General features: G+C 39.9%; 1 long non-coding RNA gene across 1 annotated transcript in view, besides 1 other annotated feature; it reads right to left on the bottom strand.

The window, feature by feature from the left end:
- Positions 1 to 2,540: 2,540 nt before the first annotated feature.
- PART1 (prostate androgen-regulated transcript 1) overlaps positions 2,541 to 23,073 on the bottom strand; it is a 59,945-nt gene continuing 39,412 nt past the window's right edge. Inside the window, exons 2-4 of the long non-coding RNA NR_024617.1 lie at positions 20,655 to 20,794; positions 16,179 to 16,266; positions 2,541 to 4,096 (exon numbers count right to left, since the gene is read on the bottom strand). This is a non-coding gene — a long non-coding RNA (prostate androgen-regulated transcript 1). The remainder of the gene's footprint in view (positions 4,097 to 16,178; positions 16,267 to 20,654; positions 20,795 to 23,073) is intronic.
- Positions 21,762 to 22,056: a silencer, noted in NCBI's record as "tiled region #9229; K562 Repressive non-DNase unmatched - State 24:Quies". NCBI's record gives its function as "represses a minimal TATA promoter and a strong SV40 promoter by Sharpr-MPRA in K562 cells {active_cell/tissue: K562}" and the evidence as "EXISTENCE:reporter gene assay evidence [ECO:0000049][PMID:27701403]".

Here is a 23,073-nt window from a genome sequence, read left to right as displayed (position 1 = left end):
TTAAAGACACTTTCATACTGTTTTCCATAGTCGTTGTACTAATCTACATTCCCAACAATGCATAAAGAGTTCCCTTTTCTCCACATAATCACCAGCATGTGTTATTTTTTGACTTTGATAATAACCATTCTAACTGGGGTGAGATGGTATCTCATTGTGGTTTTGATCTGTATTTTCCTGATGATCCGTGATGTTGAGCAGTTTTTCCTAAACCTGTTAGCCATTTGTCTTTTTAGAAATGTCTATTCATGTCCTTTGCTCACTTTTTAGTGAGATTATTTGATTCTTTGCTGTCGAATTGTTTTGAGTTCTATGTATATTCTGGATATTAGTCCCTTGTTGGATGAATAGTTAGCAATTTTTTCTCCATTGTTCATGTTATCTCTTCACTCTGTTGATTGTTTCCTTTCCTGCGCAGAAGCTTTTTAGTTTAATGTCGTTCCATTTGTCTATTTTTGTTTTGGTTGCCCCTGCTTTTGAGATCTTAGCCATAAAATCTTTGCCTAGATCAATATCTTGAAGCATTTCCTCTATGTTTTCTTTTAGTAGTTTTATAGTTTCAGGTCTTGTATTTAAGTCTTTAATCCATTTTGAATTGATTTTTATACATTGTGAGAGATAGAGGTCTAGTTTCATTCTTCTGCATGTGAATATCCAGTTTTCTTAGCACAATTTATTGAAAAGAATGTCCTTTCCTCAGTGTATGTTCCTGGCAACTTTGTCAAAAATTGGCTGGCTGTAAATATGTGAATTTATTTCTGGATTCTCTGTTCTGTTCCACTGGTCTGTGTATCTGTTTTTATACCAATAGCATAGTGTTTTGGTTGCTATAGCTTTGTAGTATATTCTGAAATGTGTTAGTGTGATTGCCTTCAGCTTTGTTCTTTTTGCTGAGTATTGCTGCTATTTGGGCTCTTCTATGGTTCTATGTGAATTCTAGGATTGTTTTTTCTATTGATTCAAAGAATGTCATTAGTATCTTGATAGGAATTGCATTAAATCTATAGCTTACCTTGGGTAGTATAGTCATTTTTAACAATATTAATTGTTCCAATTCATGAGCATAATATGTCTTTCTATTTTTGGTATCCTCTTCAATTTTGTTCATCAGGGTGTAGTGTTTTTTGTTTTGTTTTGTTTTGGCTTTCATAGAAATCTTTCACCTCCTTGGCTAAATTTATCCCTGAGACTTTTTTGAAGTTATAAATGAGGTTGCTTTCTTGGTTTCTTTTTCAGATAGTTGGTTATTGGTGTATAAAAACACAACCGATTTTTTATATTGATTTTGTGTCTTGTAACATTACTGAATTTGTAAAATCATGTCATCTGAAGTAGAGACAATTTGGCTTCTTCCTTTTTTTTTTTTTTGAATTGGAATCTCTCTCTGTCATCCAGGCTGGAGTGCTCTGGTGTGATCTTGACTCACTGCATCCTCTATTTCCCAGGCTCAAGTGATCCTCCCACCTCAGCCTCCTGAGTAGTTGGGACTACAGGTGTGTGCCACCACACCTGGCTAATTTTTGTATTTTTCATAGAGACAGGGTTTCATCATGTTGTCTAGTCTGGATTTGAACTCCTGGGTTCAAGCAATCTGCCCACCTCAGCCTCCCGAAGTGCTGGGATTACAGGCTTGAGCCACCACAACTGGCTGGCATCCTGTTTTCCAGTTTGGATGCCTTTCATTTCTTTCTCTTTCCGGAAAGAGAAAGTCTGGCTAGGACTTCCAGTATAATGCCGAATAAGAGTGCTTAGAGTAGGTGTCCTTGTCTTATTCTAGTTCTTAGAGGAAAGGCTTTCAGTTATTCCCCATTCAGTATGATGTTAGCTGTGGGCTCGTCATATATGGCCTTTATTATGTCAAGGTATGTTCCTGCTATACCTAATTTGTTGAGAGTGTTCATCATGAAGGGCAGGGTGAAAGGGATTCTTTTCTGAAGGAGGTTGTGTCACTCAGTGTCTGATGAGGATATAGAAGTCAGTGTTTGGTGAGAGATAGTAATTTGAAGAGGGAACATTTACTATAAAGAATTATTAACTGGCAAAATGTGATAAACTACAAAAGGGGTAAATTGTATGCTAAATAACACAGAAATAGCAAACATAGGGAAGAGCTGCTACTTCTAGGACTGAGGGAGGATACCCAAGAAAAGAACAAACATGGAAGGGTCTTTCACACCTGAAGGCTGAGATTCAGACCTTGTTGGAGAGGGTGGTGCTGTGGCCCGCAGGATAGAAAAGTTCTTTGAGGTGCCACAGGCCAGGCCTGGTGAGTAGGGTACTGGCTGTTGGGTGCCAGTGGATCAGCACTGTGGTCAAAAAAGTGCCTTCTAGGGTGCTGGAAAAACCCACTGGAAGGTGGTCACCATTGGGTCTCCTGCATACTGCTGGCAAGGAAATTGCCTGCTCGGGTGACAATAAAACTCAGTAGGAAGCCCTCACTAGGTGCTGGTGGAACTCACTGTAGGGTGACTCTCCCATACACCACTGGTGGCGGCCACAGGTAACAAGAACCAGGAAGAATCAAGAAGGAATGCTCCTTTATTTGCTATACCTTGTTTTATTTTATTTTATTTATTTATTTTTTTGAGACAGAGTTTTGCCTTTTTTCCCTGGCTGGAGTGCAATGATGCGATCTTGGCTCACTGCAACCTCCACCTCCCAGGTTCAAGTGATTCTCCTGCCTCAGCCTCCCGAGTAGCTGGGATTACAGGTGCGTGCTAATTTTGTATTTTCAGTAGAGATGGGGTTTTACCATGTTGTCCAGGCTGGTCTCAAACTCCTGGCCTCAGGTGATCCTCCTGCCTCTGCCTCCCAAAGGGCTGTGATTACAGGCATGAGACACCGCATCTGACCCCTTTACTATACCTTGTAGTGTCTCCCCTACACTCTACCAGCAACAGATGACATTGCACTGGCTGACCGAGGAGCCAGATTAGTATCGTGGAACAGGGCAAAGAAGGGTGGATTTGGAGCGGAGAGGCAATATATTGATAACTGTCTTGGTGAACTCCTTTGGCTTCTTAGCTTCCACATGCACCATTTTATATATATATTTGAACTCTGTATAACACAAAGTCAACTCTGTTCTTCAGAGAAATGCAGAGTTCTCACCCCTTTCCCCAAATGAGGAGACACACAGTTCCAACAGTTATCGTAGTCTCATCTGGCTGTCTTAAATACTCCTCAAATCAAAGTCCCACTGAATATTCTCTTACCTAAAGGCTAAATTGTAGAGTTTATATTCAACAACTTTCATAAAATAATGAAGAGAGAAAAAGGAAAATGGTTAATATATACAAATACACACATATACATCACATGCAAAGAGGAAATACACAAAACTGTCAGAATTCTCAGTTTTGTAATTGATTGAGAGGCCATAGTTGGTATCTATGGCTTCCTTCTTCTACTGCCTATTCTGTATTTCCATTGCCCTTAAATGGTCAAGGTTCTTTATCTGGGGAGTGATCCAAACTTTCATTTCTCAACAGCCTGAATCCTCAATAATCCTGCCCCCTCCTTTTGACTCCTGCGGTTTCCCATTAACCTTTATTTCACACCTTGAGTCCAGGTTCCAGGGAGTTAGCTAATATTGGAGATGACGCATCTGGTCGTAGGCAGGTGTCTGGTGAGATGGCTGTTTTTCCCTTTGGTCCTGGTCCTTGGACCTCATACATTGCTGTTGAGCCATTGCTTGTTTCTGTCTACATGGCATATTTACCTCAGGAGGCTCTTTCCACTATCTTCATGTGATACTTGAGGGAGCTGCATCATCACAGTTTCTTGCTTCTCCAAAACGCTGGGGTGGAGGGGGAAGGGCAGTGGGGTGGGGGAAGAGGGATCCAGAATCCCTGCACGGACTCCTCTGGCTGGATGCCAGATGCAGCCACTCTCTTCCCCATCTCTGTGCTCCTTTTCTGGGTGGTGGTAGGGTGAGGTGGGAAATTACTTTCTTGTTGGTCTTGGATACTTTGCAAAGACATCAGTACATTTTGTTAGCTTTAAAGGTTTAGTTCTTAGCACTTTGCCATCCTGGGAAATCAATGCCAGCAAATCCCATAGAACTTGTCTGCTTTTTGCTTCAATTTACCCGTCCCTGAAGACAATAAACAAAGAGATGGCATTCTGCTTATAAAAGGGTAGTATAGTAAAAAATGAAGAAAATATATCTCACAACTCATTTCCCATCTTTTAATAAATAGTGATAGACTTAAAATAGCTAAGATTGAAAATGATGCCTATTTGAAAATTTACTAAGTAATTACATTCTAGCAGTTATACATGAGATATTTATTATATATCACATGTACTATAAATCTAATTATCTGTGGTATAAATAGACATTCCTAATCACTTCCTTTTAAGCATTTTCTCTTGAACTTTCGACATTTGAATTGGATTCAGAACACGGAACAAGCACAACTCTTAAAAGTGTCAGACATGCTAGATTTCTTTCTCGCTCCCATGGAAAAAGTAAACACAGCATAAAACACTCATCAATTTTTAGAAGTTAAGAATGTGCTTTATGTAGTTTATCCTAGAAAAATCCTCAAGTTATATAAACTTTTAGATTATGAATGAGTTATGGTCATTTGGAGATGGCAACAGAGCAACTGGCAGGTTCAAGAATTTATACACAAAGGTGAAAGGCTTTTTGAAACAATCAGAGTTTTCTTTCAAGTCTAACTTCCTGAGTAATTTATCTGAGAAATTGTGAGATGACATGCAGGAGGACTTTCAAAATCATCCCAGTGTCCCTCAATCAATCTGGTTCAAATATGCAGAATTGGAGGACAGGTCAAGAAAGCAGACGCTGAAACAGGAGGAAATGAAGTCGGCTTATTGTGAACATGACTTTTTCCCATCTAAAAAAAGATGATAGTTTACATTGTTTTGAGAATTGTGGAGTGGGAGAAGCAGACCAACCTTTCATACTGCTGAAATATAATTTTCCTGGCCACACATCTTCCTCATTAATTGTCTCCAATTCCTTACAAAAGAAAAAAAAAACCTTCCTACATTTTTTTCTATTATAAAATAATTTCATAGTTGTATTTACCAAATGTTTAAGCATGAATGTGGTAACTGGTGAAAACAGCTTAATCTGTGGTGGCATGAAATGATGAAAAAATAAATATATTTTCTCTTTTTTTTTTCTGTTTTTATTCTCCATCCACATCAACTGAAGGGTAGCTAGATGGTTTTGTGCAGAAGTCTGAGTGTCCCTTGTGCCAGGAGATGCTTTTGTTACCTAGATCTGTGCTTCTGGAGCTACTTCACTGGATTGATGTTTAGGGAGGACTAGAAAGTTGAAGGGGAGAAGTTGAATCATGGAGGATGTTGGAGTGCTAAGATCCCTGAATGTGGTACCTGTAGATAAATACAGTGACTTTGAGACGCAGAGCAAAGACTCCAGTGGAGTCTGTTATTCAGTGAGCAACAGCGTCACCCACCATGGAATAAATCAGGTTGGGGTGGACAATGTATTTCAAGGTTCTGTGATTAAAGATTGTGGGACACACCAGCGGCCCTTCCATAAATAGATTTCACAAGCCTCAGCCTTCTTATGTTGGTGGGTGGGGTAGATGGTGGCCAGAGAATGACTGAGATTGGGTTTTCTGTCAACTCGAATGGGAGAGGCTCCTTCAGTTGGAATTAGATATGTAAAAGGTAAAGAAATGTGTTATTTCATGTACCTGTGGATTGTGAAACAAATTCATGCTCACTACATTTGTTTCAAAAGCATAAATAGGCCCTGCCTTCTGCCTTTATCTACTCTACACGTATAGTATGGAACAGTATGATTAAGCCAGTATGATTTGAGCCAGAAGATTAAGTTCCATAAAAAGTGAAGAAAAGTCAACAATTTAACACAAGAAATGTTTACCGACTAACTATTCTATGCCAGGTCTGGGAGTATGAGGAAATAAATGTGACATATCCCTTGAGAAAGCAGAAATAATCCAAAGAATTCATACATATACAAATTATTAATTACATCAGTAAAAATCTTTATGATGGGTGTGGCCAGGTCTGGGGCTGGAAGGCCCACCTCAGCATTGCAAAAGAATTAGTCTTCAGTCCTGAAGCTCACAGAATTTGCTAACCTATTACTTAGGGGGAATATACCCCTGAATATCATTACTTGAAGAAAAAATACACATTTCCTTTGGAAGAAAGTAAAATCAGAAATCTTGAGGGTTCTCTCGAAGAAAATCAGACCTGTAGTTCTAACCAGTCAACTGACCTTAGTTGAGAATGTTAATGTGCCAGAGAAACAAATGAATGCTCACCTTTCCGAGGAAGACAGTAGAAAATAACCCGCTTGACTATCTTCAGCTGGAAAAAAGAACTCTTTTTTTTTTTTTTTCTGTGACGGAGTTTCACTCTTGTTGCCCAGCCTGGAGTGCAATGGCACAATCTCAGCTCACTGCAACCTCTGCCTCCCGGGTTCAGGCAATTCTCCTGCCTCAGCCTCCCGAGTGGCTGGGATTACAGGCGTGCACCACCACGCCCGGCTAATTTTTGCATTTTTCAGTAGAGACAGGCTTTCACCATGTTAGTCAGGCTGGTCTCGAACTCCTGACCTCAGATGATCCACCCACCGCAGCCTCCCAAAATGCTGGGATTACAGGCGTGAGCCACCGTGCCCATTCGAAAAAAGAACTCTTTAATCCACTATACCTAACCTTTTACTCTCTCCTTTAGATTTAAATGATTAACTTCTGATAATGCTGCAGACATTTTTTTTTCTGAAAGATTTGTTAATGAATGGATTCCTTTTGAAAGAAGTCCAGGCAAGAGCACAGAAAAACAGAGAGTTCCAATGATGACCAACTGTGAAACATACTATGCTATATAAGAATCCTCTAGAGATGTAACTGTAACACCAAGATCAAAGCACAGGGGACTGTATCAATGCATTTCCCTGCAGAAGATAGGACTCTATAAAGTGAAGGGCAAGTAGCATGTGGAAGAGGAAGGACACTGGGAAGAGCCCTAACTGCTGACGGGAGAGCCTAGTCCAGCTCTGGTCCTTCACTGGTCACTGTGAGATCTTAGGCAAATCACTTGCTTTTCTGGGCCTTCATTTTCTCATCTGGAACTGAGGTAATCGAATTAGACCCTTCTTTAAGTCCTAAGATTCCAAAATCTCCAATGCAGGCACATATTAATATTGTACCAGGTAGCCTTTGTCCTACATTGAATTGTAGGTATAGTTTGTGCATATTTGTCTCCCATCCAAAAGTCTGCAGATTCACTAAGGAAGTCAGTTAAGGGCCAATCGGGGGATTTGAAGGATTCAGAGCTACAGGAGCTATTCTTTATTCCTGGGTAACTCTAAGCCAGAAGATGGAGAAGCTCACCTAAAAGCTCTGCCATCAGGTGTGTGGGTGGTGTTGTACTATGGTGTGGAGAGAGGAGAATGTCTCAGGAGACCAGGTAAGGGTTCCTATGATTGCAGAACCAACCAAAGAGCCTTGGAGGCACCAATGATGATGATTTTCTCTAGTTCTTCAAAAGCCAGGAACTGGGCCATATTGTTTTCTTTGAAAGAAAAGAAAAATAAGTGAAAATGCTTCACAGAATATTTTATAGCAACACACTTCTCTGGATTAATTAATAGTTTTAGAAGATGGAGGTAAAGAGCTCATCTGTATAAAGGTCTGAAGATGCACATATCATCTTGGAAAAAAAGAGGCTGTTATTCCATCATTTCCACATACACGGTTTTGTTACAAATATAATTGAAAATTCAAGTCTTTCAAAAATAGAATACATGGGTACTGGAGATTAGGTCACACATAATCAAATTCTAAATTTCTTTTCCAGCAAAGTCGTCCCTACTGAGGTCAGAGTACAAAGAAGAGGGGATGGTAGGCTAAACGCCAAATGAATGAAAAGGGAAGATTTTTCAGGCAGGGAGTCATTAGTCTTGTCACATGCTGCTGATATGAAAGGACTGACCACTGGATTGAGCAACATGAAGGCATGTGACCTCAATACAAGCTTTTTCTGTGGTTGGAATGAGATAAAAGAGAACAGGGAGAGAAGTGGAGTCACCAAGTGAGGACAACTCTTTGAAGGAGGTTTGTGGACCATTTGTTGTTATACAGAGGGAAATGCACAGGGGATTTTATGATGAGGGAACAGCTCTGTTTAAGAACTGGGTGTAATTGCTTTTGAGTCCACAGAGAGTCAAGGTTCTCTGTGATTTAATTATTCAGGAAAGAGGCTTCCTAGAAAGTTTACACTTTCTTCAAAGAAAGTCAGTTTCTCTCATTTGCATGTCTCTCATTTCTAAGTGACTTAATGAAAATTCCTTTCCCCACTAACTTGAGTTTTATATACCTTGTATGGAGTAGACATAAGAAGTGCTGGTTGGCCTGTTTTGGTGCAGGACAGGATCCCACAAAAAGAAATTTCAGCCTTGTAACCTTTCTTCCTTTGACTTTCTGTGATTAGTTTCCTTAGTGTCTGGTAACAGCTCTGGTTCCTTTGCTGTAGTGTGGTGAGCCTCATCTCTTCAAACAAATTGGTTCACAGGCTGGGGGATGGTGGGCGGGAGGGATGAAATCATTGTTTTGCTTCAATGTCGGTTCTCCCCTGAGAGGTCTTTCACAGCAAGGGAGTCTGTATTTTTAGAATTAGCATGTTCTGTTTCAATGTTGTGAACATTCATTTTAAACCTACTATATTTAGCAGAGGTTTAATTACCCAAATTGGGAAACTAGTTTTAAACCGTCACCTTCTACTTGGTTAATCAAAACAGTCCCTACCACCAGCAGGGGAGACTGGCAATTTCAGTCATACAGCCACACCTGGTGAGGGCAACTGACAAAAGCAATTCCATTGCCTGAGTTCAGCATCTTCAGCACCCATCCAGCCCTGTTGTAGCCCCTCTTTCTTTCAGTAAGACTTTCCTGCAATATACCCTCTGTGGACTAGGGCTGGGGGGATGTGTCTGCTCTGATGTCTGTGGGGAGTGTCTTTTCTTCCCACACAAAAATCGTGATTATATTTTCCAAAATAGCACTCAGGAAACAATCTCTCTGTGGCATTTACAGATATGTGAGATGTTGAGGAACTGCGGTCTGAATGATGAAATTTCTTGGATTTTTCAGCAATGTCATTTTTTCCTTCATTTACTCACTCACTTCTGGAAGGGCCAGTCTGAGAGCTGGGCTGAGGAGTCCAAGGCTGATGCAGTCATGGATGAGTCTGAGGCAGGGAGACCACTAGCAGGAGAATGGGCAGTGCCAACTGGCTTTAAAAATACTCAGATACAAATATGAATTTTGCACATCCATTTAGTCATTTGGCAAATATTTATTGATTGGTTGTGGGATAAGCCATAGAGCCTGACACTAGTTTAGTGAGAGAGATACACAGGAATAGGAAAAAAATTATCATAATAAATGCACAGCTACAGAGCGAGAGCTCTGAAGGATCATTTTATGAGTATGCGTAACAGGAACCTGATGTGATTGATCAGTGAAGCAAATTGGTGCTTGAACTGAGATCCACAGTGGTGCTTCCCAAATTTTATGTGCATATGAATATCTGGGGATCTTGTTAAATGCAGATTCCTGTGCTGCTTCTGGGGCTTGGGGAGGAGCCTAAAATTCTGCATCTCTAATAAGCTGCCATGTGATGCTGATGCTGCTGGTACCAAAGATTCTAAAGGACAAACATAACGGAAAGCAGGGGTTGGGGGAAATAAGTTTCACAGGGAGGGAACAGTTATACACAGCAAGAACATAGTCTGCATGGTGCTCTTCTGGTCCCTAACCACTGAAGCAAAGGTCAAGTAATTGTTCTACCTTCTTCCATGACTAATTGGCAGGATATATGTTCCCCTGATAGGACATTTCCCAACTTTAAGGCTGCTCTTTATGTTTACTTCAAAATTCCTTTTACCTCTTGTAAATATTGGGATTTCCATTTAAAAGGTCAGACAAAAGATATGTCTTCTACCCTTCTCCTTAGAATTTGCCAGAAAACAGGGACAGAAATATGAATTTCATATTTGATAAACCTTGAAGACTAACTCCCAAAAGATAATATTTGGAGAGGCTCTCAATGCAGTGAAGATCAAATATGGGTGCACAAAGGCTCCTGGAGGGAGTGCTTGGGAACACAGGTCTCAGATAAAGCTGGCAGGAAACTGTTTTCTTAAGTAGATGGCACTTTGAGGGCAAAACCAACCACCCCTTCTTCGGAATCACAGGAAAGGCAGGTACATGGAGGGTAGGGTTGGAGCATCCCTTTACCGCATTTGACCTCACAGGAAAGTGGAGCAAGCAGAACTGCAGAAAATGTGCAGAAATGCTGCAATCAGTCTGTGTCCTAGTGAGGCAGGGTGGAGGAGAGAGGCTGAATTGCCTCCTGCTCTGTAGCTGCCAATGCCTGTTGGCTGGAGAGAGGTAAAAATTCAAACAACCCGCACATATAGTCTTGTCATCATGAGTTTGTCCCTGAACCAGGGAGAATTCTTGCTAGCCTGGAACTGCTCATCCCCTTCTCAACAAGACCCTGGATCACTTCCAACATCAGGAAGAACACACTTCATTTAAAGATGAGTAACAAAAAGGCAACTAGCACAGGATCTATACAAATAACTTACAAGACAAAAGGAGGAAGAGGACAGGGGAACATAAAGAATCCTCACCAATAACAAGTTGCCATTAAGTAGAAAATTATGACAAAATAAATGTCTATGAACAATGAATTTAATGAAACAATGAAGAGGCTGGAAGCAGAGCAATTGAGAGATCAGGGGAAATACTAGCACCACCACAGGAGGAAATGAAACAAGAACTTCTGAAGGTCAGGAAGGAAGCAGAAGAGAAAAATAAAGCTACCATGGAAATGCAAGCATACTGTAATAAACACTAAGAAGAAACACTGCTGACATCACAGTGAGGAATAGGAGGGCAACATTAAGACACATAAACAAAAGATATAAGCAAAATAACCAGAAATGAACAAAGTTAGAGTGAACTAGAGAGAACATGAAAGATACAGAAAACAAAAGAATTGCAACATATGCATTATTTGTATCTTTTAAGAAGAAGTCTGGAGATATTACTCAGTAAAACTCTTTAGAAATAAAATAAGACTTGAATCTACAAATGGAAAGGGCATACTGTAGCTCAGAAAAAATTGATACAGAATGATCAACATTGAGAGGTATCCAAGTAAACATACTGGCCCTCAAGGCCAATGAAAAATTTTAGAATCCAGGCAAAAATAAAAAATAAGAGTGAAAAATTAAGTTGGCATGATAACAAAATAGACTATGTAGTGGAATATCAAAAGTAAGAGAAAGGAATCCTAACATAAATGAGAGTACAACATTTCAACATATTACCATAAAAAGTTTAAATTGTCTAATTCACCTATTGACTCAAATTTACAAAAAAGGGAAATCAAATTATTTGTAATATGTGAGATGCATCTAAAACAACGAAACTCAGAAAGGATAATAAAGATAAAAATTAGGCAAAGACATGCAAAGCAAATGCAAAAAAAAAAAGAGCAGCTGTCATAACTATGGTTGCATTCAAAACAAAAAACATGAAATAAGACAAAAGGGGAACTTGATAATAATAAAGGATGTAACTCACAATGCAGTTCAATATGATAAATAAATTGGCATGGAAAACATGGTGTCAAAGCTACAGAAAATAGGAATAGGCAGAAATCCTTTAGCAGTAGAAAACTTTAACGCTTATCTTTTAACTATGGAGAAATCATATGGAAAAAAAGCAAGGATAGTTTTAATAGCTTTACAACAAACTATATACTATGAAGACAGATTACACTTTCCTTTCAAGTATTAATGGAGCAGTTACAAAAATTAACTACATATGAAGCCACAAAGAAAACTGCAATGCAGTCGATCACATAGAAATAGTACAGACATTATGTCATGCCAACGCAAAACTTCAAATGTTAAAGAGAGAAAAAAAAATAACTTTACCTCCTGGAAATTAAAGAACACTCTCTATATAATTTTTCAGTCTCATAGAGAAAGTCATCGCTAAAAATGCAGAATATTTGGAAAGCAACACGAATTAAAACACTGTATATTAGAGACTATGAGATCTTGTTACAGCAGTACTTAGAGGAAAGTTCATAACTTTAAATACTTGTAACAAATAAGAATTAAATGAATTAAGCATCCAATATCAGAATGTATTAAGTAAAATAAAGACAAGGCAGAATAGAAATTAGTAAAGATAAAAACAGAAATTAATTAATTTGGAAAATTTAAAAAATGCCAAAATAAAGTCTATGAGTTGTGTTTGAAAAATTTTTAAGTAAAAATGTGTGCTATGCTCTTTTTTTGAAATGATAACTTTTTAATTGTGGTTAAAAATATAAACCTAAATTTGCTATTTTAGCTATTTAAAAATATACAAATCAATGGCATTAATTATATGCAAATGTTGTACAATCATCACCAGTACTGATTTCTGAACTTTTTCATCACCCCAGCAACTCTGTGTCCTCTAAGCAGTAACTCCCCATTCTCCCTACCCCCTAGCCCCTGGTAACCTTCAGTCTACATTTTGTGTCTATGAAGCCTATTCTAGATGTTTCATATAAGTGGAATAATATAATATTTGTCATTTTTTGTTTGGCTTATTTCACTTAGCATGTATCAGAACTTCATTCCTTTTTATGTATGAATAATATTCTGTTGTACATAACATACCACATTCTGTTTATACAATTGATTTTGTTATGTGCTCTTGGATGGTTCTACCTTTTAGCTATTGTGAATAATGGTGCAACACCCATCTTTTTTTTAAAGGGAAAAAGCAGAAATAGATGATATAAGAAAACAAGAATTGAGAAATAATTATAGATAGAGAAAATTAAAGGAGATTATAGGACTTATATGTACCATAAGCAAATAAATGTAAAAACCTGGATAAAATATGTAATTTCTAGAAACGATAAAGTTCTAAGGCTGGCCCCAGAAGAGTTCGAAAATCTAAAGAGACCAATTACAATAGAAAAAACAGGAAAGTCAGGCTATCCGTCTTCCAAACTACCAGGCACAGATATTTTTACAGGTGAGCTCTTCATAACCTTAATGACTCAATCACTCTAAAGCTTTTAAAATTCTTCTAGAAGAAAAGACTCTAGTTACTTTTTATAAAGTGGAGGTTACACTGGTGTCAGTATGCCACAGAACAACAAAAATAATAAAAAGAAAGTCTAATGTCTCTTGTGACTATCAATACAAACATCTTCAATAGAATACTAGCAAACATATTCCAGGAGGACAGTAGAATGTCCTTCCTTTCAGGAAAGGAAGGATAGTTTAATATTAGGAAATCTATTGATATTGTTTAACATCCTAGTATATGTAAAAAACAGTAAAACCATATGCCCGCACTCATGGTTGCTGAAAATGTTTGCTATAAAATTAAAATCCATTATTGATTATGAAAAAACACCTCATCAAATAGAACTAAATTTATCACATTAGTAAAATATATTTGTCTTACCTCAAAAGCCAGGTCATGTTTAACTAGCAAACCATACACTCACATTAAATTGGGACAAAGATGCCATTACCACAACATTATTGAACATTGGTCTTGAGGTGCTAACAAACTTTTAGATAAGATAAAGAAGAGTGGTATGTACAAGTTGGAAAGGAGGAGGTAAGATAATCATATTTGCAAATAATGTAACTCTGTGCCTTGAAAACCCAAGAAAATTAACTGAAAGATCACTGCCAACAATAGTAAAAGAAAAAAAAAATAAGAGAATTGAGTAGTGTGGCTAGAATAGTCTTTACACACATAAACAACAATTGGTGCTAAGATATGCAAGAAAGGACTGTATGCCCAGAGAAGCTAATTCTACAGATTATATGGAAAAATGAAAAAAGCAAGAATAGCTAGGAAACATCTTGAATCAGAATAGTAATGAGAAGCATGAATGCTCTGATGAACACATATTATAGAGTTATAATCGTTACAGCACTATGGTAGTGGTGCACAGATAGCTACATCAATGGAACAGAGGAGAAAATTCATTTTTTTTTGCAGATCACAGTAAAAAATAGCTTGAAAAACCACTTTCCTATGTATGTCATATGTAAATTTTACATAAAAATACATGCACGTATATACTTGCATATACATAGAACAGCTTTGGAAGTATATTCAAGAAATGTAACAGTTGTTGGGTGATGGGGTAGGAAGTAGTGTTATGTTTCACTATATTTTTTGTGTACCTTTGAATTTTGCACTATTTGTGGTATTATTTCTTTAAAAAGGCAATTTATTTTATTATTTTTTTCAAACCCAGCACAGAATATTAACAAAGTAGATAATACATAGGATGGATATGGAATGATTTGCTTGGATCACTCCAAGCAAGGCATCTGAACTATTCACATGGTTGTGTTTGGAAGCTCCCAGGGTCTAAACACTGTAAGATTTCGGAGATTTATACCAGATCAGACTCACAAACATTTGATTTTCCTCATTTTTCAAGATTTTTTCCCCTCTGGCCTTTCATTTATTCATTTAGTCTTCAGTAGAGAGACCAGGGGATGGCTTGGATTTAGGGGCTTAACCACCTCCATCTTCATCAGCTCCATTCAGCTGAAGCTGTTGCTGTTCTTCTGAAAAGATCCCAGGAGCTTCCCAATACATATGCAATCTCTGTAAAAGCAGTGTGTTTGCAAACACAGCTGCAAGAAAAGCCTCCTACAGCAAGTATATAAAAAGGTGCTCAATATCACTAATCAGGCAGATGCAAATCAAAACCACAGTATTACCTCACACCTGTGAGAATGACTATTATAAAAAACACAAGAGATAACAAGTGTTAGCCAGAATATGCATAAAAGGGAACCTTGTATACTGTTGGTGGGAATACAGAGGCCATTGTGGAAAATAATATGGAGGTTCTACAAAAAATTAAAAATAAAATTCTTATATGAGCCAGCAATCCTGTTTCTTAGTGTAGATCCAAAGAAAATGAAATCACCTCATAGAGATATCTGTGCCCCCATGTTTCAAAGCATTATTCACAATAGCCAAGATATGGAAACAACCTTTGGCTGTCAATAGATGAATGGATAAAGAAATTGTGTGTGTGTGTGTGTGTGTGTGTGTGTGTGTACACACATACACAATGGAATATTATTCAGTCTTAAAAAAGGACATCCTGCCATTTGTGTCAACATGAATGGACCAAGAGGAAAATTATAATATGTGAAATAAGCCAGACACAGAAAGAAAAATACTACATGGTCTCACTTATATGCGAAATTAAAAAAAAAAAGAAACAAAATTCAAAGATGTAGAAACAGAGTAAAAAGGTGGTTACCAGGGGTAGGAAAAGTGGGGGAGTGGGGAGATGGAGGTCAAAGGGTATAAAGTTTCATTTATGTAGAATAAATAAGCCTAGAGATCTAATGTATAGCATGAAGACTGTAGTTAATAATATTTTATTTCATAAGGGAATTTGCTAACAGAGTGGATTTTAGGTAATTCTACTACACACACACACACGCACACAGAAAAGGTAACTGTGTAACATGATAGATATGCTAATTTGCTTGATGTGGTAATCATGTCATTATGCATATTGTTAAATAAAATTTATGGAAGCTCTCATTCTAGATCCCAACAAACCAAAGCAAAATGGAGTCCCACACGCTAAGTGCCACATGATTAAACTGAAATTTTAAGAAAGCAGGTAAATTTCCAAACAGACCAGATATTTTTGAAAACAGAAGATTCACAGAAACCAATTAGAAAGGGCCCAGTCAGCCTAAGTCAGTATAATAAGGAAATCTCCACAGTTTTAACCCTTATAAGAAAAGTAACCTGAAGTAATCTGATGTTAACCGATCTGCCTTTTTCTATTATTCTGTTTCCTTGTTCCCACTTTACAAAAACCAATTGTTCTGCCATGCCCAGTGGAGCATTCATTCTATTTATAGAATACAATACTGCTGAATTCTAGAATCACAAATAGAAGCCAATTAGATCTTAAAACTAAATTTGTTATAGTTTTGCCTTTTGACAATATGTATATCAAAACATCGTGTTAGGTATTGTCTTAGTCTGTTTTCTGTTGCTATAACAGAATACCACAAACGGCAATTTATACAGAAAGAAGTTTATTTGGCTTACAGTTCTGGAGGCTGGGAAGTCCGAGAGCATGGTGCCACCATCTGGTGAGGGTCCTTCATAGTGAAAGGGTGGAAGGTGGAAGTGAACACTAGAAACAGAGAGCAAATGGAGGCTGAACTTATCCTTTTATCAGGAACCCACTCATGGGGCTCTGCCCTCGTGATCTAATCACCTCTTAAAGGGCCCACCTCCCAATACCATTACATTAGCAATTAAATTTCCACATGAGTTTTGAAGGGGGCATTCAAATCATATCAAGAAAAAAAAAAGTCAAGTCCCCTAGGCTTCTCTTCTAGGTAGATTCCTGCTTCAGTCCCTTCCTATATAGAAACTCTGGAGTTTCCCCTACCTCATACTATTGCCTGTTTTCCATGGCTCCAAGAGAAAAGGAATATTCTCTTTTCTTCTGAAAAAGCACTACAGTTTATTGGTCAGCACCAAGTGTGTTTAACTTCAGTTTCAGATGGCAACTCACACATAGATGTGTTTATGTTGCCCTTTATCAGTATTATCATTGGCAAAGCCTTTGGTAAGCAACAGAAGTGGCTAAACAGAATAATTCCAGGCTTGAAGTTCCTTTTTCATCTGGTTCCCTCTGGGAAAAGGCTATGAAAGCTAAGGGTGGTGGCCAAGTCCCAAAGGCCAAGGTCACCATCAAACATTTTCTGAGAATCTACCAAAAACACAGGTCTGTATTAGGTCAATATGCACACAGTTGTGCTGGGAAGGAATGAAGCTTTCAAATATGAGAACTGTACCTGAAAAATCTTTGCCATCAGTTCTTTGAAATGAAACTCTAAGCTGGGAAGAACTCTCTGCTTAGGGGAAGTAGGACTAAAACTTGACTTTTGATTTGGAGAACATTCAAAAGACTCTAAGCTCATGAGTGCTCAACTTGTAATTTTTTGCCCTTGAAAAAACTATAGGCGGGTGCAGTTACACCTGTAATCCCAGCACTTTGGGAGGCCAAGGTGGGTGGATCACTTGAGCCCAGGAATTCAAGATCAGCCTGGGCAACATGGCGAAACCCCGTCTCCACTAAAAATACAAAAATTAGCCAGGTGTGGTGATGCATTCCTGCATGCCAGCTACTCGGGAGGCTCAGGTGAGGGGATTGATTGAGGCTGGGAGATTGAGGCTACAGTGATCCGTGATGGCACCACTGTACTCCAACCTGGACAACACAAAGACCCTATCTCAGAAACAACAACAACAACAAAGAAGCAACAAAAGGGAATTTGTACTTTTAGCCATAGAGCCTTCAAGTTTGTTATAACCACTGGGGAGAAAACCCTTCATTTCTACTTCATTCCTAAAATGGGTTAATCACTGATTATACATAGAAAATTTACTCAAATGAAAACAAACCACCACCAGATTTTACCTTTAAATATATTTTCTTGGTATTATTTTAGGTTCTGGTAGCAAAAGGTGCAGAGATAAGGACATGGGTTAATGACATGGGTTATTTATTGCACTCTGCATACAGCAGCAAGAATGCTTTTCCTAAAAATTCTTTTTGCTGAAGTCCCTTTTTTGCTTATGTCTCTTTTCCTAAAAAATCTTTTTGCTTAAGTCCCTTTGTTGCTGCCCACATCATTTGATTTCCCACAGCAAATTATTATAAGCCTGCATTATCCTGTTTCTCCTCCTCCTCTGAATCTTCCTCTCCATCAGCACGATTTCTGTTTTCTTTCTTTGCCAACTAGCTGTGTGGCTAAGAGTAAGTCACTGGAGTCTCACTGTCCCTTTGTCTGTAAAACTATGGTTTTGGAATAAGAAGGGTCCTGGCCTGCTATGGGGTGTATCAGAGTCAGGGTGAAAGGGTCTTAAGGTATTTGAAAATAAAGCAGCAGATAAGCTTGACATGGAGAGTAGCCTACCTCTGGCTCTGTTTTCTCCATTTCCTTAGGAGTGAAAAGCTGGCCGTCAGCAAGCAGATTCAGTGCTCACATTGTAGCCACATAATCAAAGGAAGAAATACATATCTTTTTTTTTTTGAGATGGAGTCTCACACTGTCACCCAGGCTGGAGTGCAATGGCACAATCTCGGCTTATTGCAAGCTCCGCCTCCTGGGTTCATGCTATTCTCCTGCCTCAGCCTCCCGAGTAGCCAGGACTACAGGCGCCTGCCCCCACTCCGGGCTAATTTTTTTTTTTTTTTTTGTATTTTTACTAGAGGCGGGGTTTCACCGTGTTAGCCAGGATGGTCTCAATCTCCTGACCTCGTGATCTGCCCGCCTCAGCCTCCCAAAGTGCTGGGATTACAGGCGTGAGCCACCATGCCTGGCTGAAATACGTATCTTTTAAGATCTAAAGAAAATCGTTTTAAAGTTACTGTTGTGTCCATCTTGTTTTCTTGTTACTGAACTTATTTCAAAAATTTAAATAACATTAAAGGAAGGTATAAGATTTTTATGGCTATCCAAAAGCTGCATTAAAAAAAACTTAAGGATTTCCAAGTCAATTTCCGGCTGTGAAAATCACACTGTGTCCTGAGTTGGTGGGTTCTTGGTCTTACTGATTTCAAGAATGAAGCCGCAGACCCTCTCAGTGAATGTTACAGTTCTTAAAGCCAGCGTGTCTGGAGTTTGTTCCTTCTGATGTTTGGATGTGTTCGGAGTTTCTTTCTTCTGGTGGGTTCACGGTCTCGCTGGCTCAGGAATGAAGCTGCAAACCTTCGCAGTGAGTGTTACAGCTCTTAAGGCCACATGTCGGGAGTTGTTCGTTCCTCCCGGCGGGTTCGCGGTTTTGCTAGCTTCAGGGGTGAAGCTGCAGACCTTCATAGTGAGTGTTACAGCTCATAAAGGCAGTGTGGACCCAAAGAGTGAGCAACAACAAGATTTATTGCAAAGAGTGAAAGAACAAAGCTACCACAGCATGAAAGGGAACCTCAGCAGGTTCCCACTGCTGGCTTGGGCAGCCTGCTTTTATTCTCTTATCTGGCCCCACCCACGTCCTGCTGATTGGTCCATTTTAAAGAGAGCCGATTGGTCTGTTTTACAGAGAGCTGATTGGTCTGTTTTGACAGGGTGCTGATTGGTGCGTTTACAATCCCCGAGCTAGACACAAAAGTTCTCTACCTCCCCACCAGATTAGCTAGATAACAGCATCCATTGGTGTATTTACAAACCCTGAGCTAGACACAGAGTGCTGATTGGTATGTTTACAAACCTTGAGCTAGATACAGAGTGCTGATTGGTGTATTTACAATCCCTTAGCTAGACATAAAGATTCTCCAAGTACCCACCAGACTCAGGAGCCCAGCTGGCTTCACCCAGTGGATCCCGCACGGGGGCCGCAGGTGGAGCTGCCTGCCAGTCCTGCGCTGTGTGCCCGCACACCTCAGCCTTTGGGCGGTCGATGGGACTGGGCGCCATGTAGCAGGGAGTGGCGCTCCTCGTGGAGGCTCCGGCGCGCAGGAGCCCATGGCAGGGGCGGGCGGGCGGGGGTGGGAGGAGGGGAGGCTCAGGCATGGCAGGCTGCAGGTCCCGAGCCCTGCCCTGCGGGGAGGCAGCTAAGGCCTGGTGAGAAATTGAGCACAGCAGCTGCTGGCCCAGGTGCTAAACCCCTCACTTCCTGGGCCTTGTGGGCAGAGCCTGCTGAGCCCACGCCCACCCAGAACTCATGCCCAGCCCAGAACTCGGGCCCACCCAGAACAAGCGCCGTGCCCAGCCCTGGTTCCCGCCAGCGCCTCTCCCTCCACACCTCCCTGCAAGCTGAGGGAGCTGGCTCCGACCTTGGCCAGCCCAGAAAGGGGCTCCCACAGTGCAGTGGCGGGCTGAAGGGCTCCTCAAGCACGGCCAGAGTGGGCGCCAAGGCCGAGGAGGCACCGAGAGTGAGCGAGGGCTGCAAGGGCTGCCAGCACGCTGTCACCTCTCAATACGATCTGTGAACATGTGCCCTTTCTCAGTTCAGAAAGCCATTTAGAGCAAATGTACTTATTTACTTTATCCAGGCTCTGCTTACTCCTCTCCTCTCCACAGCCATCTCCTCCATTAGAAATGCTTTTCCCTGCCATTTTTGACAGACCCTGAGCCTCCTGGCCTCCCTGCCTGAGACGCATTATAGTCTCTCTGACCTGGACCACTGCATGCAGCTTGGGAGCCTCCCTGTCTTTAAGGTATCGGACAAAATATAGATGAGAGTAGCAAGGCATTAGGAGTAGTAGTAATAGCAGTACAAACAAGAATAATAATTTTTATGATAATAGTAGCTAACATTTGTTGAACTCCTTTTATGTGCCAAGCATTTTATGTTTATTATCTTACCACCCTTGACAAGGACCTTATGAGGTGGGTACTATCAACCCAGTTTCTCAGAAGGGGAAACTGAGGCTTATAAAGAATATACAACTTGCTCCAAGTGGTAACTAGTGGAGAGAGGATTTAAACCTTGGCTCTTCAACATCCCATAACCTATGCATTTAGTTGCTGTTCATAAATAGTCACCTGCATATGTTCATCTTGCTTTTACCTGTGTTCATCCCATCTTTTTTGTGAAACTCCTGGAAGGCAGGTCGTGTCTTCTTTCATTCTTTTATACCATCTCAGAGGGCTGTAACAATACATGCTCAGAAAACATTTCTGTTCAACCTGCATGAAGTACAAGGCAGGCTGAAATGTAAAGAAATACATAAATTACACTGAGGAAGAGCAAATCCTTTCATATAACTTTTTCCTGGCATTACCTCTTAGGGGAAAAGAATTCTCAAGCAAGCTGTAACTGAGCTGGTTACCAAAATCAGAATGAATTCTCCCCAATCACGGGGGACATTCCATAAGCCTTTGGAGTGAGGTCTATTTTAAGGATTTTGTTCAAGTTCCTCCTTCTTGTTTCCTGGCCACACTGCCCAGCACTTCAATTGGCTAATAGGGATTCTGAATAAGAAAGATACAGGCAGCTCACTTGGAAGTTACGTTAAGGACTAATAAAGATCTTGGAGTGATTTTCAACAAGATAAGATCAGCATCCTGGTATTGAGTTATTTTGCTACATTAATTAATTTCAGTTTGTTCTAATGGTCTTTGGCCTCCTGCTTAAATGTCAATTGAGGCAACAGATTAATTCCCCTTAAATAGTGGCCTGTCATGTCTTGTTACTTAGTTCTGGGTTTTATAAAGTAAGAACTAAGATGGATATTTATCAATCGAGCAGATTTCTGTGTTGTGTCCTCTAAAGCCCTTGGGGTCAGTGTCTCACTGTAGCATCACTAACACCTTTTATGGAATCAAGTGATTAATAAATGTGTCCTCATGAGACTGTGATGCTTCTGGGTGTTCATTTTAGATACCTTAATAATTAGTCTCAAGAGTAGCTCAGTTATTAAGTGATTTTGGGGTTGCATCATGTCAGGGAAACAATCAAGAAGAAACTATTTTAATAGCATAAATTTCTCTGAGATAGTGAAGATAAAAGAATGCTACCAGTTTACCCACTCCTTACTGTCTGAGTCAGGAAGAAGGTGGAACATCCTATTCCTTCTTCACCTCTATTACCTCATTTAGAAAATTTTGACTATTTCTTCTTTTAGCTCCCTTTTTACGGTCCACCATTTTTGGAAGATGACTTTCTCCCTGTCTTCTTAGAATAAAAGGTCCAAAGGAAGAAAAGAACAAGATATGCTCAGGAGTTACCTGTGATGACTTCCTCTCCCTTGCCTCGGGCACTGGCCCACCACTCCTTTTTCTATTCTCAGTTCTTTATCTATTTACTTTTCTATTCCCTGCTCCTTTCCTATTGTCCTGACTTGCATGACACTGGCAAGCTACAAAATGGGAACAATAGCAACTGCCTTAGAAGGCTGACAGGATTCACGGGAAGCACCCTGAGCAGAGTCTAATTCCTAATGAGTGGTCCTTACATATTAGGATCATTTTCTTTCCTTTTGAGCTTCTGGTTTCTTGGCCTCTGGCCTTAGCCTCTTTCAACATATTCTACATAGGTAATCAGATTCACCTTCAAACAATGCTGTTTTGATCTTGTCATCTGGTGAAGAAAAAATAAAACCTTCAGTGGCTTTCTAAGACGATGAAATCAAATTCAAAGTCTCATCGTGGTATTCAAGGTCTTCTGTAATCTCCCCTCAGCCTGTGGCTCTTACTGATGCCCCATTCTTCTATTGCTCAGGGTGCTTTGGGCTGTAGCCACTAGGTTGACGAGCATCCTCTTGACGAGCATCCTGATGATGCTGATAAAAGTGCTCAAGGACATTTTGGGAATTTTTTCTTTAGTGTTATCTAGGATAGTACTGTATACAATGCATATTTTTATGTATAAATCTTATTTCTGTCTATGTTAGTTGCCTTGAAACAAAAACTGGGCCTTTGTATCTGTGCAGGCTACAAAGGCTTGACACTGCTACCCTTAGAAAGGCCTGCTTGCCAGGTTAGCCTTTGGTTGGTAACTGGGAACTGAGCCCTTGGAGGGCTCTCAGTCAACAGTCAATTGATAAGTGTGGTTCACTGTGCCTAGACTTTTGTGCAAACAACACAGTTTATGCTTGAACACCTGCTCCCCTGTTTGGAGTCTGGAATATTTTGATGTGCTAGGCAGAGGGTGCCTATGTGATCAGCTCCATGAAAAACCTTGGGCACCGAGTTTCTAAAAAGAAGCTTCTGTGGGCTGAAACGTCATATACAAGTTGCTACATTTTCCTTGCTGTACTCTATGTGATCTCCCGTGGTAGGCAGAAGCATAAGGAAATCTGCACGTAAAATCATTCAGACGCTGCCTGTGGCTCTCCCTTATGATCTGGCTGTGTATCCTTATTACATCACTAGAATAAATCTTAGCTTTAAGTACTGCCATACACTGAGTCCCATGGGTCCTTCTAGTGATGTCCAAATGTAGGGGGCAGGGGTCTTGGGTACCCCTGACACAGTATCTCTTTCAA

This window comes from Homo sapiens, chromosome 5 (assembly GCF_000001405.40).
Source record: "Homo sapiens chromosome 5, GRCh38.p14 Primary Assembly".
Classification (NCBI taxonomy): domain Eukaryota; kingdom Metazoa; phylum Chordata; class Mammalia; order Primates; family Hominidae; genus Homo; species Homo sapiens.
The sequence above is the reverse complement of the archived record's forward strand: the minus strand, read 5'-3'. Positions and strand labels throughout refer to the sequence as shown.